Genomic DNA, 17,784 nt, shown 5'->3' with positions numbered 1-17,784 from the left:
TCCATCCATCTTGGACAGCTTTCGGGAGGCTTGAGGGACTGGCTCACCACAAATTCCAGCCTTCTGTTGTTCCTGGCTGTCTACGAGTAATAAAGTTGCTTTGCTTACCTTATGTGTGAATATTATCTCTCATCAGATTCATACAAATGGTAGAAACTACAGATTGGTAACTGGTGCATGGTGAACCAGCTTCACACTCAGCAACACACAAGGTATGCAAAGCAACGTTATGAAGGTGGTCATCTATAAGCCAAAAACAGAGGCCTCAGAAGAAACCAAACATGCTGACACCTTTATTTTGGACTGCTACTATCCATAAACATGAGAAAATATTTTTTCTGTTGTTTAAATCACCCACTCTGGTATTTTGTTATGGCAGCTAGAGTTGACTAACACAGGTGTCAATGTGGGTAATTCTGCAACTGCTAACAGCAAAAATGGATTTCTCTTTTTCTTCTGCCTTCCAAAGTGAGTGCCACTGATTGATATACTATAATCTGGAATTACACTGGGAAGGGAATTCTGAGCAAGGGTGTTTCAGGACAGATGGCAGTAATGCTGATTTGACATCAGAAAATCTAGTACAATTGATCCCCTAAAAATTTAGAACTCTGGAATACATAAACATGGAAAACCTATAAGTCTAAAAATCTAAGCCTCTAGACAAAATCTAAGCATCTGGATTTTTTTTTCTTTTCTCTAGGATAAAAATATGTACATACTAATCTTGCCATGTCTAAAGATAAATTGTAAACCTACACAAAAGAACAGAGGGTATACAGGAGCAGTTGTGACATGAGATATAGCTGGAAAGAAAGAGCATTTTTAAGACAGCACTCACTGGGAGCTCTCAGAGAGCCTACCAACCCTGGGAAGCAACTTGGTGACTACATTTGTGATCAAGGCCCGTTTGGTTAAAGTATTTATGTTGAACAATATTGTATGTATAAACTTGACAATAGAAAAAATTATTTAAGAAAGACTATATATGTGTATGAATGTGAATACATTATGTGTACTTTATTAAATTGTTAATTGGAAGCAGGTGTATGTGACATAGGTACTTCTTTAGACTCCTTTATTAGGATTATCCAGTGAAACAGAGCCAATAGGATGTACACACACACACACACACACACACACACACACACACACATCCCAATTTATTTTAAGCCTCCATGATCACTCATGCGATTATGGAGTCAGGCAAGCTTCAAAATCTTTAGTGTGTATTGGTAGGCTGGAGACCTAGGATAGCTAACAGTCAGATAAGGTCCAAAGGTAGTCTGCTGGAAAAGTACCTCTTGCTTGGAGATGCTGTACTTTGTGTAGCATTTAGTCCTTCCACTGATTGTTTAAGGACTGCTAACATTATGTAGGGCAATCTGATTTACTCAAAGTCCACCTAATTAAAAAATAACAGATGCTGGCAAGGCTGCAGAGAAAAGGGAAAGCTGATGCACTGTTGGTGGAAATATAAATTAGTCCGGCCACTCTGGAAAGCAGTTTGGAGATTTCGTAAAGATCTTAAAACAGAGCTACCATTCAACCCAGCAATTCCATTACTTCCATCAAACTTCCTGGGCAGTCCCTGCTTCTATAAGTATGGCACAGCCCTACGGCAGGCTAGAGATTATGGAAGTGCTCAGACACTCTGTAAAAATGCCCGCTGCAGCTTTCTGTCACTGAGGCATGCCTTTTCTTTATGTCCCTGTGTTGTGATCAGGAGAAGGATTAACTACCTTAGCTTTTCTTGCTTCTAGATTGAAAGAAAACTGTTTTGCAGGGGCCTTGTGATTACAGGGCCTGCCACCTTTCTTTGCTCCCTGACTATCCAAGGCACTGGGGATTTTGCTGTAGTGTGGAAAACGTAATCATGGTTTTAGTAAGAACAGTCACGCCAACTTCAACTCATTTCCTTTTAAAGGTGAATTTACTAGCTTGGCAAATCAGGAACATGTACTATTGTGTTTCTCGTAATATATTTGAGAGAAAGAGTGAAAAATGAAGACTAAGTGTGATCATAACTATAAGAAATTGCAATTGATTAAACAAGTGTGATCAAAGAGTATCAATTTGCAAGCTGACGTCATTTAAAAATGCATGCTGTATGTATGGCTTCTCATAATGTCTTCTGCAGCTCTGTGATTGCTCTGCCCCTAAATGGCAGTGAGCTCTTTTAGGTACTGCACCTTGTTTGGATGCTTAGATTCTAGTGGGAGATGCTACATACAAAATATAATAATTAAAAAGTGTGGAAGGATACGATGATAACGATGCATATATGTGTGTGATACTATGGAAGCATGAGGAAGGTGCCTCCCCAACATGGGCAGAAGAGAGTAGAGAGAGAAGTGAGAGTCAGGTAAAGCTTAATGAGGTAGGTAAATCCTGAGCTGACTATTAGTTTTTGTGTTTCACCAACTTCTTCTATGTAATTTCAACCATGTGCCTCTTTTTGGGAGATTACAGAAGAGTATCACTTATGTAAACAATGTACAAATAACCCTGCCACTCCTCACTAAAAACAACAATAGTTAAAAAAAAAACACACAAACAAAGCTGATATGTGCATACAAAGATTTGAATGAAGACGATTATAATTGTCAATGGTAATATCTGGGAAGAGGATTGAGGGTGGAATTTTTTTCTAAACTCCTATATCATTAGTATTTTTCTCTTCTGTAAACTTATACCACTTTTATAGAATTAAAAAAAATCGACTTTTCAATTTTAAAAAGAAATAATCTATCACATATTCGATTGAAACAGAGCTACTCCCCCTGTGTATAAAAATGCCATAAACTGCTTAACGTCTCTTATTTCATTTGTGTTTACACATCTATGTGAAAGGGTGAGGGTTTAGCAGCAGACACACCTCATCAATTTATCTACAGGAAAATGATTAGATTATTCTAATTAATTTCAGAAATCAGTGAATTGTGTGGCCTTCTAAAATTACTACACTAGCTATGAAACTCCTGGTGACATTTTTGAGCTAAATGTTATTCTTTTTAATTGACCAGATGCAAGCCCCTTTTCTCTTCCATTTTAAAATCTGGGTGCTGTTATGTGGCATGAAAGCACATTTGATCAGCTTTAACATTTTATCTGCCTCTTAATGCTAGCAATACTAGCTTTACTGAAAACTATTATAAAACAAAATGGTTCACTTCAGAAAAATGTGTCATTTTCAATACTATTCTGTAACATCTTGTTTGTATTTCTCCTTCTCTTGGATAATACCGACTGTTTTTGTTTCAGTTCACTAGATAAGCACTAGGAAAGAAACTAGACTTGTCAGACAGATGGGTAATAATTGATGACAATCAAAATGCAATTGAATTGCATTCTTTTGAGATCTTGAGATGAAAAGGTACTTATAGACACTGCTTCTATTTATACAGTTTCTTTGTTTGACTTGAAAGTAGCATAGGTACCAGCTCCTTTTCCTCTCCCCACCCCATTTTATTCCATACCTCTAGAATGCACTCTTCACACATTCATGGGGTTAAAATCTTTTATGAAGAAGATCAAGTAAACTCTTCTTGGGAGGAGTAACTTTCCTCTTGTCTAGTTTGAAAGCCTGATTCCCCAGAATTTCTAGACCAGGATTTCCTACACCAAATGATGAGCATTATTGCAATGAGGAGATGGGACAATCTCTGCCACATTTATCTGGTGATAAACCAGAAATCCCAAGATAACTGGGGCACAGTAAGGGTGAAAGTCATGAGTTTTTATCTGTAAGTAAACTTAATAGTATTCCCCAAAAAGATATCTTCAAATCCTAACTCCTAATACTGGTGAATGTAAACTTATTTGGAAATAGGGTCTTCACAGATATTATTAAAGACTGTAAGATGAGACCATCCTGGATTTATAGTGGCTTGAAATCCAATGACTGGTGTCTTTAGAAAAAGAAGAGAGGGCATAGACACACTGAAAAAAAGGCCATGCAAAGACAGAGGCAGGGATTATAGTCAGGTAGTCCCAAACCAAAGGATGTTCCAAGACACCACAAACTGAGAGAAATAAGGAAGGATTCACCCTTGGGGACTTCATAGAAAGTGTGGCCTTGCCAACACTTTTATTTTGGACTTCTGGCCTCCAGAACTATGAGAGATTCTATTTCTGTTGTTTTAAGCCACCAAGTTTGTGTTACAACAGCCCTAGGAAAATAATAGAAATTTTGGTTCCAGGAAGTGGAGAGCTGCTGTATAAATACATAAAAATTTGAAAGTGGTTTTTGAATTGGATATTAGGTAGAAGACAAAAGAATTTTGATAGGTATAACAAGAAAATAAACTAGATTGCATTGAAAAGATGGTTGATAGGAATGGACATTAAAGGAAATTTTGGTGAGGGCTCAGAAGGAAGTGATGAGTACAATAAAGAAAGCCTCTGTTGTTTTAAATGAATACATTATGAACAGAGTATTGACAGATATATGAACATTAAAGGTGCTTCTGGTGATGTCTCAGGCGGAAATGGCTCACATGTTATTAGAAACAGGAAGAAAGGTGATTCTTCTTACAAAGTGACAGAACATTTGGTTCAATTGGATTCTACTGTTGGGTGGAAACAGAACCTATAAGGAATGGACTTGAATAGTAAATCGAAGAGATTTTCAAGCAAAGTGTTGAAGGTGCAGCCTAATTTCTCCTTGCTGCTTGTAGTAAAATTCAGGAGGATTCTAGATCTTCGAGGAATCACCACACTGTCTTCCACAATGGTTGAACTAAATTACATTCCCACCAACAGTGTAAAAGTGTTCCTATTTCTCTGCAACCTGGCCAGCATCTGTTGTTTCTTGATGTTTTAATAATCACCATTCTGACTGGTATGAGATGGTACCTCACTGTGGTTTTGATTTGCATTTCTGTAATAATCAGCGATGTTGAACTTTTTTTCATATGTTTGTAGGTCCCATGAACGTCTTCTTTTGAGAAGCATCTTTTCATGTCCTTTGCCTACTTTTTAATGAGGTCGTTTGTTTTTTTCTTGTAAGTTTGTTTAAATTCCTTGTAGATTCTGGATGTTAGACTTTTGTCAGGTGGATAGATTGCAAAAATTTCTCCCCCTCTGTAGGTTGCCTGTTCACTCTGATGATACTTTCTTTTCCTGTGCAGAAGCTCTTTAGTTTAATGAGATCCCATCTGTTAAATAACATTTGACCCAGCAATCCCATTACTGGGTATATACCCAAAAGAATATAAATCATCCTATTACAAAGATACATGCACTCATATGTTCATTGCAGCACTATTCACAATAGCAGAGACATAGAATCAACTCAAATGTCCATCAGTGATAGACTGGATAAAGAAAATGTGGTACATATACATCGTGGAATACTATGCAGCCATAAAAAGGAATGTGATCATGTCCTTTACAGAGACATGGATGGATCTGGAAGCCATTATCCTCAGCAAATTAATGCAGGAACAGAAAACCAAACACTACATGTTCTCACTTAATAAGTGGGAGCTGAACAATGAAAATATGTGGATACAGGGAGGGGAACAATACACACTGGGGCCTGTTGGGGCAGAGGGTTGGTGGAAGGGAGAGCATTGGGAAAAATAACTAATGCATGCTGGGCTTAATACTTAGGTGATGGATTGATAGGTGCAGCAAACCACCATGACACGTTTACCTGTATAATGAACCTGCACATCCTGCACATGTACTCTGGAACTTAAAAATAAAAATTGGCCGGGCGTGGTGACTCATGCCTGTAATCCCAGCACTTTGGGAGGCTGAGGCGGGCAGATCACGAGGTCAGGAGATCGAGGCCACCATGGCTAACACGGTGATACCATCTCTACTAAAAATGCAAAACATTGGCTGGGCACGGTGGCGGGCTCCTGTAGTCCCAGCTACTCAGGAGGCTGAGGCAGGAGAATGGCGTGAACCCGGGAGGCAGAGCTTGCAGTGAGCCGAGATAGCGCACTGCACTCCAGCCTGGGTGACAGAGCGAGACTCCGTCTCAAAAATAAATAAATAAATAGATATTAATTTTAAAAATTCAACAGGAAAAAGATGAACTGAAAAAGGAACTACTAAGCAAACAGCAAGGAGTACTTGATAATTTGGAAGGTTCTCCACATACCTAGATGCAAAAGATGCTAAAATTAGAAAATTTATTGTTGGGAAAGCATACTCTAAATAGAAGGCCAAAGAGGAGACTTAAAAATCTTTTGCTGAATAGATTAGATGTGTGGCTTATGGATCCAACTGACCGTTTCAGCAGACACCAGGAATAGAGATTGGTTATCCAGGAAGGATCTGTGGAAGAACCTCTTATCTGACAGTGTGATCCCCTTGACATACATGTTGGACCTACAAGGTTTTTAAGAATGTTGTATAAGCAGAAACACTGCCAGCTTAGACTAAAGGGGACATAGACAGGAACACAGAGAAAAAGGTCACATGAAGATGAAAGTAGAGATTGGGTGGGGTTACTTAAGAAAAGATTCTCCCTTAGCCTTCAGAGGAAACATGGTCCTGTTGACACTTTGATTTCACACACCTGGCCTCTAGAACTGTGAGAGAATAAATTACTGTTGTTTCAGGCCACTACTGTCGCAGTGGTTTGTTGCAGGTCTGGGAAACTAATACACCGTCTATTATTATTGACTCTCTAGTCTTCTTTGGCCACTGCTGATGCAAATGAAGTGATCTCTCTGACCTGAGTACCTCTAACCCTGACCCAGGTATACCTATTCTAGCCTTGGATATTTCCACAGAATCAAATTCACTCCCTACCTCCTGTTAACAGCTTTGTGAACAACTTGTAAGAAATGTTATACATTGTAACAAAGTCTTATAGGTACTTAAATCTTATAATTCTGACAACACTTACTAATTATTTTAAATGTTTCAATAAACTTGAAAAATTTACAAAGAGTGATGATAAATAAAACAATCTCTACTACACACTTTATTGGACTCTAATTGTCAGACTTTTTTTTGCAAGTGAGAATGAAATTAATAAATTGTCCCCTAATTGGTAAAGAGCAGACAACATATTGTGCACTTGCTTCCAGTTTTAAAATCTCTTAAACTTCGGTGGGGTAGGGAGAGGACAGCAGGAGAAAAGGCTAAGAATATTGAAGGGCAGTGTTTGGAGTATATTAAATATATGTTAATGCATTGTCTTTTTAAATAATCTTGTAAATTCATGCACAAATAAATATCTTTTAGCTGTTAGAGTAAATGTTATGGAAAGTATTTAATAATAGCTCCCCTTCTGCATTCATCATGTGTCTTATGCACATAATAATTTTAGTGATAATAATTATTTCCATAGAGGCTGAGCATGTTGGATCATGCCTATAACCCAGCACTTTGAGAAACTGAGGCAGGAGGATCACTTGGGTCCAGAAGTTTGAGAGCAACCTGGGTAACACAGGGAGAACTTGGCTCTACAAATAATTAAAATCAGCTGGGTGTGATGGTGCACACCTGTGGTTCTAGCTACTCAGGAGGCTAAGCGATATCATTTGGTGCTGTGTTCCCACCTGAATGTCATATTGAATTGTAATCTTCATGTGTCAAGGAAAGGGCCTGGTGAGAGGTGATTGGATCATAGGCGTGGTTTCCTCCATGCTTTTCTCATTGTAGTGAGTAAGTTCTCACGAGATCTGATGGCTTTTAAAGTGTTTGGCAGTTCCGTACTCACTCTTTCTCACCCGCTTTCTTGTGAAGAAACTGCTTGCTTTTCCTTCATCTTCCACCATGACTGTAAGTTTCCTGAGGTCTCCCCAGCCATGTGGAACTGTGAGTCAAACCTTTTTCCTTTATAAATTACCCAGCCTCGGGCAGTTCTTGATAACAGTGAGAAAATGGACTAATACACTGAGACAGTAGTAAGCCTGGGAGGTCGAGGCTGCAGTGAGCTGTGATTGCACCACTGCACTTCAGCCTGGGCAACAGAGTGAGACTGTCTCAAGAAAAAATTACTATTATTTCCATTGCCATTTAATGTTATAACTTATAAAGGGTTTATTAATAAATTATGTGTCTGCATGTCTATAAAAATTGATTCTTAACCCAACAATTGTGTTGGGAAAGTAAGGTAAGTTGTTAGTATCCCATCTTACAATTAAGGATACTGAGGCTCAGGTAATTAAAATGTCTTGACAAGTTCATAGAACGAGTAAGTATCAGAACACTGACCAGAACCTAGGCCTCCCAATTCTAGCCCAGTGTTCTTTTGGTTTCTCTCTCCTAACTGTGGAAAAGTTGACCAAGTTATATAAGGATAATCAATGTATATGCTTTTATCTTTTCTGACATTGTGATCTGAAATTTTACATGTAAGAAAAATAATGTCAAAACCTCTTTATTTAATGGCTTACTTCTCTGAACATATGCTTTGACAATTTTTGAATTGATAATAAAATGAAGCAAACAGGAACATTAAATATACTTAAATTTACTTGTTTCCTTGTGAAAATATGTCATGCTACTACTATTGTATGTGGTGTAAGAAGAAAATGCCCAGGTTATATTGAACATAGTGTGGTAATTTTTTATGATATGAGAGGATTAAATAGGTTGTATTTTTGTTTTTTTTTAATGTTATTTAAGACATATGGATGGAATTAAGTTGACTCCAAAGGACAATTTATTATCACTGGAAAACCTGGGAAATTTCTAAGAAACACTTTAAAAATATTTATATACTGGGTTCCCCTAAATCCTTAAGAAAGAAAAGTGATTCATGATTCAATGCAATGAAAGACCAGTATGTTGTATGTCAGTAATTTTGCAGATTTGCAAAGGTAACCATTGTTTTTTTTTTTGAATATGAGATGAATGAATATGGACACTTTTTGAGGGAACATTCAAAAAGTTTCATAAAGTTAGTTATGCTGTTTTTAAAAAGAACCATTAAGGAACTAATGGCCTAGCTGAATTGATACCTGGGAAAATATTCTACATCTAATAGAAATATGGTTCAAATGCAGAATGCTTACCAGAAAATTGCTAAAAATATAAATTAAGCATACGAAGTCATATCTATTATGCTCCATGCTGCTGTTGATGATAATACAACAACATATTTCCAGAATAACAGCTATTCAGGATATTTGTAACATTAAGGAATTGAAAATACTTGTCTTTGGGAAATGTATACTCATGAGCCTGAAGGAAGTGGTTAGTCACGCAATGTGATATATTTTTATATACGTATGTAAATGGACATAAAAACAAAATGAAAACACCTACAATATTTGGATGTTTAAATTGAAAATATAAACAGAAATAAATACAAATGTTAATGTTGTTATATTCACCTTAACACACATGATGTTGCAAAAAGAGCTTTTCTGAGATGACTCTCACAAACATGAACATCTCAAATGGGAGGTAAGACTACAACCTGGTGATCTGACAAGGGACCTGGACTGTGAATATTGTTTGAACTGGAAGTGTAGGAGGTACACTAGTAAGGGTAGAGATCTCGAGGATGTGGAATGATACCTTCCTTTGTCTGAGTCCCAGTCTGTGGTTTCTGTCCTATTTATAATGACATTCTGGTTGAATTTGTTTGTTCTACAAAGTAAGTCAAGTTTCAAGTCATGTCAGTTTATCCAATTAAGGCCTTGATGAGAGGAAAAAGAGAAGAGGCCATTTGTGCTCGTGTGCTCAATTATTTTTAAAGATTACATTCGGCCATCTAAGCTTTCATTGGTTGTCAATATGTGGTTGATCAAATTAGCACAATTTGGAGGCCCAGTTCATGATTCCCTGGGTCTTTTGAGTCATTAGTGATCCCTGCTTGATTGTAGTTGCCTGTTTCAGTATGCCTGCAGAAAAGAAAAGGGCCCTGTTTAAAGTATCAAAACTATAGGATTCCAAAACAGATTTAGAAATTCCCATCTCCAGCTTGTCTGTTTTCCTCAATACTAGCAACTGAGGCATGCTGCTCTCGTGTCACTGTCCTGCCATTGTCTATTTGTCTTACTTCTGACTTCTGTGAGTTAGCCCTGGTCTATTTATCTTATTTTGGGCAACACTGTGCTGTTTAATATCTGGTCTCTTTTTTCTGTTCATAGACCCAAATACTTTTCTCCAGGACATAGCCTTCCTGTTTTCTTTTGTTCAAGTTTGATGAGCTCATGCTCTACACATAACTCCCAGGGCAGCTTTATACACTGACTGAAGGTGGAAAATTGTTAGAAAAGTGTTTAGTAGGCTGAGCATGGTAGCTCACTCCTGTAATCTCAGCACTTTGGGAGGCCAAGATGGGTGGGTCACTTGAGGTCAGGAGTTCAAAACCAGCCTGACCAACAGGGTGAAACCCTGTCCCTACTAAAAATACAAAATTAGCCAAGTGTGGTGGTGAATGCCTGTAATCCCAGCTGCTTGAGAGGCTGAGGAAGGAGAATTGCTTGAACCTGGGGGGCGGAGGTTGCAGTGAGCCCAGATCGTGCCATTGCACTAAACCCTGGGCAACAAGAGCGGAACTCCATCTCAAAGAAAAGTGTTTGGTAGAAAAAAATTATAGCTGCTCACTACAGATTAATGTTCTAACATGTCAAGCAGGCTTTCATAAGATTCTATAGGGGCTAATAGAGGCTCACAATCTCCTAGGAAGATTGATGTTTTTCTGGCTCATCATCATGAGGGAGCTGACAGGGAACATTCAAAAGATCCTTATGTGCTCCTGGTGCTCCTCAATGACCTCAATGTCATTTGTGACTGAATAAGTGATGTGTTGAGCTCCATGTTTTCCTGTCAAGGTGATTTCTTCCCCACACGATACAACAGACACTTCCACCACCCTAGAGAATGCCAATATTAACCCCCTTATATTCTATATATGAATTTCTGCCAGTCACACAAGAAACCCAAGATACCCAGGTCATCTCATCATGTGGATGTTGATTCTCAAGCATCTTGGAATATCCTGTAATTAGCCTCCATCTACCATTCCTCCTCAGCTCCCAATTCATTCTTCTCCACTCTCTGGAGCACAGTCAGTCATTAAAAAAAAAAATCCCCTTTTTACTCAACCTCTCCTCAGAGGATTTCCTTCACTGTTTCTCTAACTAAAATCTGGCTCTCCATTAAGGACACTTAGAGTCTTCTCAGACAGTGGTGGTTTTCTCTCACATGTCTCTCTTACTACTTGGTCTGGAGTTAGGATAATTGTCTTTCCTGATTCTTCTTGCTACCTTCAGACCTTTGTTTCTTCTTCCTTCCTCCTTCCAAGCCCCTGATTTCTTTTGAAGTTTATGTCAACAGATTACCCACTAACCCAGTTTGTTGTAGTCATCTAACTAATCCCCAGACCAGCCTTATTCATTTCTTGAAGATTTTATTATATGATTTACTCCATCACTACTTCTGACACAATTCTTGGTGATTTTAATATTCATGCAGAAAATCCTGCTAATATCTTGAGTTTTTAGTTCCTCGTTGTTATTTTTCCCTAGAATCTTGTCCTTCACCTTATATCAGCTACCCATTCTCACAGTTGTGCCCTAGACTTTGTCAGTCCTGGTAATAGCTTTCCATCCATAATCTCAATTTTAAGTACTCCACTCTGCAATCCACCCTTCCTATCTTTCTAACATGTTCCTTTATTCTCTCCCCATGAGTCATTGGTCTTTCTGAAATCTTCAGTCCACTGGGTCATACCATCTTTTTGCTGCATACATTTTCTCAGCTTTCTCCCATCTTCATCTTCCTTTCTCCAAATTTAGGTTCTGTAGTTCATTTTTATGCTCATTTCTTGCTTACATCCTCAACCCCTTGGCTCTTCTTTCATTACATATTATATGCCTGGCAAAACCCAACTCTGGTCATGTCAGCCTGCTTTGCACACACACGTCTAGAAAAAAACTGTACATCAATGCTTCCCAATCTTATCTTAAAGAAGTGAACGTTATCCTCAAGTTGGATCCTAGCTATGTCCAGCAACTGTTTTATTTCTTTCATAAACTTTCTCTTACTCCTCTAGATAACGATTTCATACCACCTTCTTCATTCTCAAACATATATCTCTATAAATCTCTTCTCTTTGAGCTAACCAGCTTGCTATTTCACCGAGAACATGGAAATAATCAGGAGGGAACATTCACATGCTTTCACCACCCAGTGGACCCATCTACATGTGTTTCCTCTAGCAACTATGGAAGGGTTCTCAGTGACCTTATCTAAGACTAGATGCTTGACAGGAACACTGGTTTTCTTTCTTTTCTCTTTTTCTTTCTTTTTTTTCTTTTTTTTTTTTTTTGGAGACAGAGTTTCGCTCTTGTTGCCCAGGCTGGAGTGCAATGGTGCGATCTTGGCTCACTGCAACCTCCACCTCCCAGGTTAAAGTGATTCTCCTGCCTCAGCCTCCCAAGTAGCTGGGATTACAGGCATATGCCACCACGCCTGGCTAACTTTTTGTATTTTTAGTAGAGACGGGGTTTCTCCATGTTGGTCAGGCTGGTCTTGAACTCCTGACCTCAGGTGATCTGCCCACCTCGGCCTCCCAAAGAGCTGGGATTACAGGCATGAGCCACCGTGCACAGCCGGAACACTGGTTTTCATCTCCTCTGCCTACCGTAGGACATTACTCCTAAGGGGCGCCTCTCTCCTGTAGCACCAGATTTTTGCTCTTAACTAGTTTATTCTCAGCAGAAGACAAATAAGCTGTAACATATCCCATCTTAAAAAATCTGATTTGCCGATTTCTCTCAATATCACCACCTACCTCAGAGCTAAGTTTGGCTCCACCCTCACACTTTACTATGCTCAGTCAGTCAATTTTGCCTCTTTAGTCTCTGTTTTTTCTGCTGACACTTAGTTGAATCACTTATTACCATCTCACTCAACAATTTGAACAGACTCATTACTTTTCCATTGTCGGTTCTGTGCCCCAGGCTAGAGCATTGGGTTAAATCAATACACAATATATGTAGATTTCAGGAATTGAGTATTTTTTTAGACTAAGTATCCTAAAGCTAAACCTCTATTATTCTATATCTAAAAAGAAACTTCATAGGGATATATTCTACTTATTGAAGAAAATCAAGATTTCTTAATTAATAAAAGTACACATCATGTTGCACTGAGTTTCATATATCGTGATGGTCTTGCTGAATTTTTGACCATTTTCTCAAAGTGTCTTGTAAGCTTTCTCCATTCTCTTTCTATTTAACTGTAGAAATTCTATTATCCTGCTTTTTAAAAAAATTGAAATAAAGAAATTATAAATTAAACATCTATATTCTTACCATCCAGAGTAGAAAATGGTTAATAATTTGTCATTTACCACACAGACATTTCACTGGAAGAAAAAAAATCATTTCAGAAAGAATAAAAGGCTCTTAACTACCATCCATCATATCATCCCCCACCATAGATCACACCATCATCTATATTTGTGTATGTTATTCAGTCTATTTTTTTTTGTTTTTCATCTGTAAAAAATATGGTTGAGTGCTATCCCAACATTTATTTTTTTCTGGAGCAGAGTAAAGAGTTAGGTGCCAGGCATGGTGGTGTGTGCCCATAATCCTAACTACTTGGGAGGCTGAAGGAGGAGAATTGCTTGAGCCCAGGAGTTCAAAGACAGCCTGGGCAACATTGCAAGACCCTGTCTCAAGAAAAAAAAAGAGCTGGGGAGTAGTAGGGTATATTCTTCTCATAAATTTAGCTGTCATAAGGACAAAGAATTCTCATATCCTTTAAGGCCCAGATCTAGTACTACTTTCCCATGCTCCATCTTAATATGCAGAATTTCTGTTCCGATGTCTTTGGAAATCTTTTTTTAATTCACATTCATACATACATATATATGTATGAACACAAATTTAAAAATGCACATAATATAGACATACATATATACACATACACACGTAATTTATACTTCAGATTAATATGTATATATGGTTCATTTATACTATATATATGAATGAAATATATATACACAGACACACACATATAAATTATTTAATTGTAAATATGCTCCTTAAGGGTTAGCATTACTTATATTACTTTCAGCAGTATCTTTACGCATCTGCACCACCAAATTGCCTGTCAGAGTATACAGCCACCCCAACACACCCACCCACAGTCCTCCTCTCCGCGTCCATATAGATATATTTTTCTCTATGACCACTTTTACTTAAATATATATAAGAATAAAGGAATGAACAATGGAATGGTTGACTAAGATACATGTAATGATTCAAATTCAGTAGGTGCTCATTATCTAAGTGATGTGCTATACCTCTAATTCATTTCTTTATTACACATGGCACTAGTAAAAAGTAATAAAGGGCTCTTAGCTACTTGAAGTGTTCCCATAACCTATAGGAGTATCATTTGTCTTGGTGGCAACTAGGAAAGGAGCAAAGAACAATTTGTCTTTTTTTGACTCATATTTCCACTTAAATGTAGAGAGATAAAAAGCAAGAGACAGCTTGTGCTAATTAGAAGGAGAAAATTTAAGAGAATATTGCTCTTGGCAGTGTTCAAAATACCAAGGTCACACATGTACCTTCTGTAACTTTGCTTCTCAATGGGATAGAGTATTGGGTAACAGGATTTCATGGAGGCAACTTTTTAGGTTCTACAAGGGCCTAGCAGCATACAGTCAAGAGGTTGTTTGTCAATTTCTTAAATGGTCACTGACAACAAGATCCTGTTTATTCATTAAACACAGTTCTTAAGAACATTAATTTAAGCCTGAAAGATTAATGCATCTGGGTCTACTGCTCCCTTGGGGTACAATTCAGTTGCTCTGTTACTTAAAAATGGTTTAGACAATAATTTCTGAGGAGGCTCAAAGACTGTGTCTCCTTCCACTCCCACTCCCTATACATCATATAATTCAGCAATGTCATGACTTTTTGACTGACTTGTGTCTCATTGGCATGGAATAGCCAGTTACCAGTTATCTAGTTTCTTTCTTCCACACAGCCAGGAAAAGTCAACCTGTTCAGTATCTCTTGGTCATTTATTGGCAGATTTAAAAAGAACATAAATGTTTAATAAAGATTCAATAATTCTTATTTTGCTCATCTGAAAACCCTGTTATGCCCATTTAATTGCTCAGCAATGCTATCCATTTTCTATGAAAGAAATCACCTATTTTCTGAAGTGTACTACAAGATTAGTAATGCAATACTACCAAACTTATCTTAACTATCCACCTGTCAAGATAAATGAATAAAATGTATTTGAAATGTAGTTCCCATGACTTTTTTTTTTTGAGATGGAGTTTTGCTCTTGTGGCTCAGGCTGGTATGTAATGGCGTGATCTCGGCTCACTGCAACCTCTGCCTCTAGGTTCAAGTGATTCTCCTGCCTCAGATTGCCAAGTAGCTGGAATTGCAGGTGCCTGCCACCATGCCTAGCTAATGTTTGTATTTTTAGTAGAGATGGAGTTTCACTATGTTGGTCATGCTGGTCTCAAACTCCTGACCTGAGGTGATCCACCCGCCTTGGCCCTGACTTTTACTGAACATATTCATTGAATTTCTAATTTATACATTTTGATAATCCACAATGGATCTTTTAGGGTCTCATTTCTAATGTCAAGGCTCTTATGGAGATCATTAAAACCTAAGTAGAATTAAACACAAGCTTGCCTTCTACTCTAAACTGTTAATAAAATCCTTTAGTCTTCTGTGTTAAAAGGAGGCTTTCATTCAATTACTTCCTGTTTTTGCTATTTGGTATTGCAAAATAATTGCAATATGCTTAGGTGTGAATATACTTCATCAGAAAAAGTTCTTTTATCATTAATATAGTTAGGAAGGCATCTCAACAAAATGAAGCAGGCATGTAATAACCTCCCCCCCCCAAGAAAAGGGAAAAACTCCATAATAGAAATATATTTTGTCTTAAGAGTTATATTTTGTTTCACTAGAGTGTGAGCTCCATGAGCGTAGTAGTCATTTCTGGCTTGTTCATGACTGTATACCATTGATTAGCACAGCATTTGACATAGTAAGTGCTCAATAAACATTATCAAATAAATGATGTTACCAACCTTGTTTTATTCAGACTAAATTGACCAAATTCTAAAATAGAAGTCATAAACATCTGCCCTTTAGTGATTATTTAACAAATAACTATCTTCCTATTCTTTTATATATTAACCTAGAGCATTGATCATAATTACGTGAAGCATCACTTAAAGCTATATTCAAGTTTTTTTCATCATTCATTCATATAAATCCCACAGTTTCAATATAAATCAGAAATAAAAGGCTGGGCATGGTGGCTCACGCCTGTAATTCCAGCCCCACAAGGGCTGAAGCAGGAGGATCGCTTGAGCATAGGAGTTCAAGACCAGCTGGGGCAACATTGTGAGACCTCATCTGTCCAAAAAAAAAAAAAAAAGTTAGCTAGGCATGGTGGTCCCATACTCAGGAGGCTGATGTGGGAGGATCACTTGAGCCTGAGAAGATCGCTTGGGCTCAGGAGGTCAAAGCAGCTGTTAGCTATGATTGTGCCACTGTACTGCAGCCTGGGTAACAGAGTGAGACCCTGTCTCAATAATAATAATAATAATAATAGTAATAGTAATAATAAAATCATCCTGCTGGTGGATATCATTCCTTTCTCTCTCCAATTGAAAAACTAAGGTAAAACTTACTTCAGTGGACCAACCAGAAAATGAGGTTAGCTTATAAGTGAGATTGTTTTTCTTCGCCTCTATATTGTACTTGGGTTCTTCTGTATGAGATACATTGGAATTTTCCCAATTTTTAAGGTTTTTACTCAGGTCCTCAAATTTCTGTGTCTGGTATGTTGTCTAACAGACTGTGACTTTACTTTTCTGTAGAGAAGCAACTATTGAGAATGCCACAGACTTGAGCTTTCCATGCTATATTTAGAAGATAATTTGCTGCACATTCTTGGATCGATTTTGCCATCTCAGTTACTTTGTGGGAGATAATTGACATTCTTTGTGCTATGACAACTGTATGTGATGGATTAGTTCTAGTGTTTGACACTGGTTAGCTTCATATCAGTCACAGAATTTCATGAGCAACCCGATTCAAATCCTATGCAAGACACAAGAGATTTCTAAGAATATAGCCAAACTGAACTTTAGTAAAAGAACAAACATCTTCTCTCTTTGAAGAAATCTTCAATTTTCCAAAGTCACAAAAAAGATGAACACTCAGTGGACTATAATTAAAACAGTTTCTAATGGTCAGTATATATTGCAATTGAAAAATTTCAGTGTGACTATAGCTAGATATTGTGATACTTTTATATCAAAGCATTAAAACCTTAAAAATAATACAGTTAAACTCACTTTTTACAAATTAATCAAGGGTGTAATTTAGTCCATGAGAAATTAGAAATTATTTCAATAGGCTACCTTAAAAATCCTGTATATTTAGCTTATGTTTAAAGTAGTGCATAATGGGGATAAGTGAGGATACATTCAGGAGACAATTTCCTGATGGGATTATGAAGATTATAGAAATACTGATAGAAATGTTAGTATCCATCAAAATATTGAATGGCAGAAGGCATATCCATAAGAGTTAATACCTTTTGAGATCATAAAAACATTTATAAGTTATATTTTCTTTGTGATCATATATGTAGTTGATTATCTCCTCACATCTTGTGTTCCCAAATCTTTCCTTTCCTTAAACATTGTAAGACTAAATATAATTTAAAGAACCAGTATCTATAACCTTCAAAGTATGTTATTATTCTCTTTCACTTAAATGGTTTAATATCTTGCAATTCTTCTATACTTGCCTGATATTGTTGTATTAGCCTCACATTGCTTTTTATTGC

This window comes from Homo sapiens, chromosome 7, assembly GCF_000001405.40.
Source record: "Homo sapiens chromosome 7, GRCh38.p14 Primary Assembly".
Taxonomy (NCBI): Eukaryota; Metazoa; Chordata; class Mammalia; order Primates; family Hominidae; genus Homo; species Homo sapiens.
Note: the sequence above shows the minus strand (reverse complement) of the source record.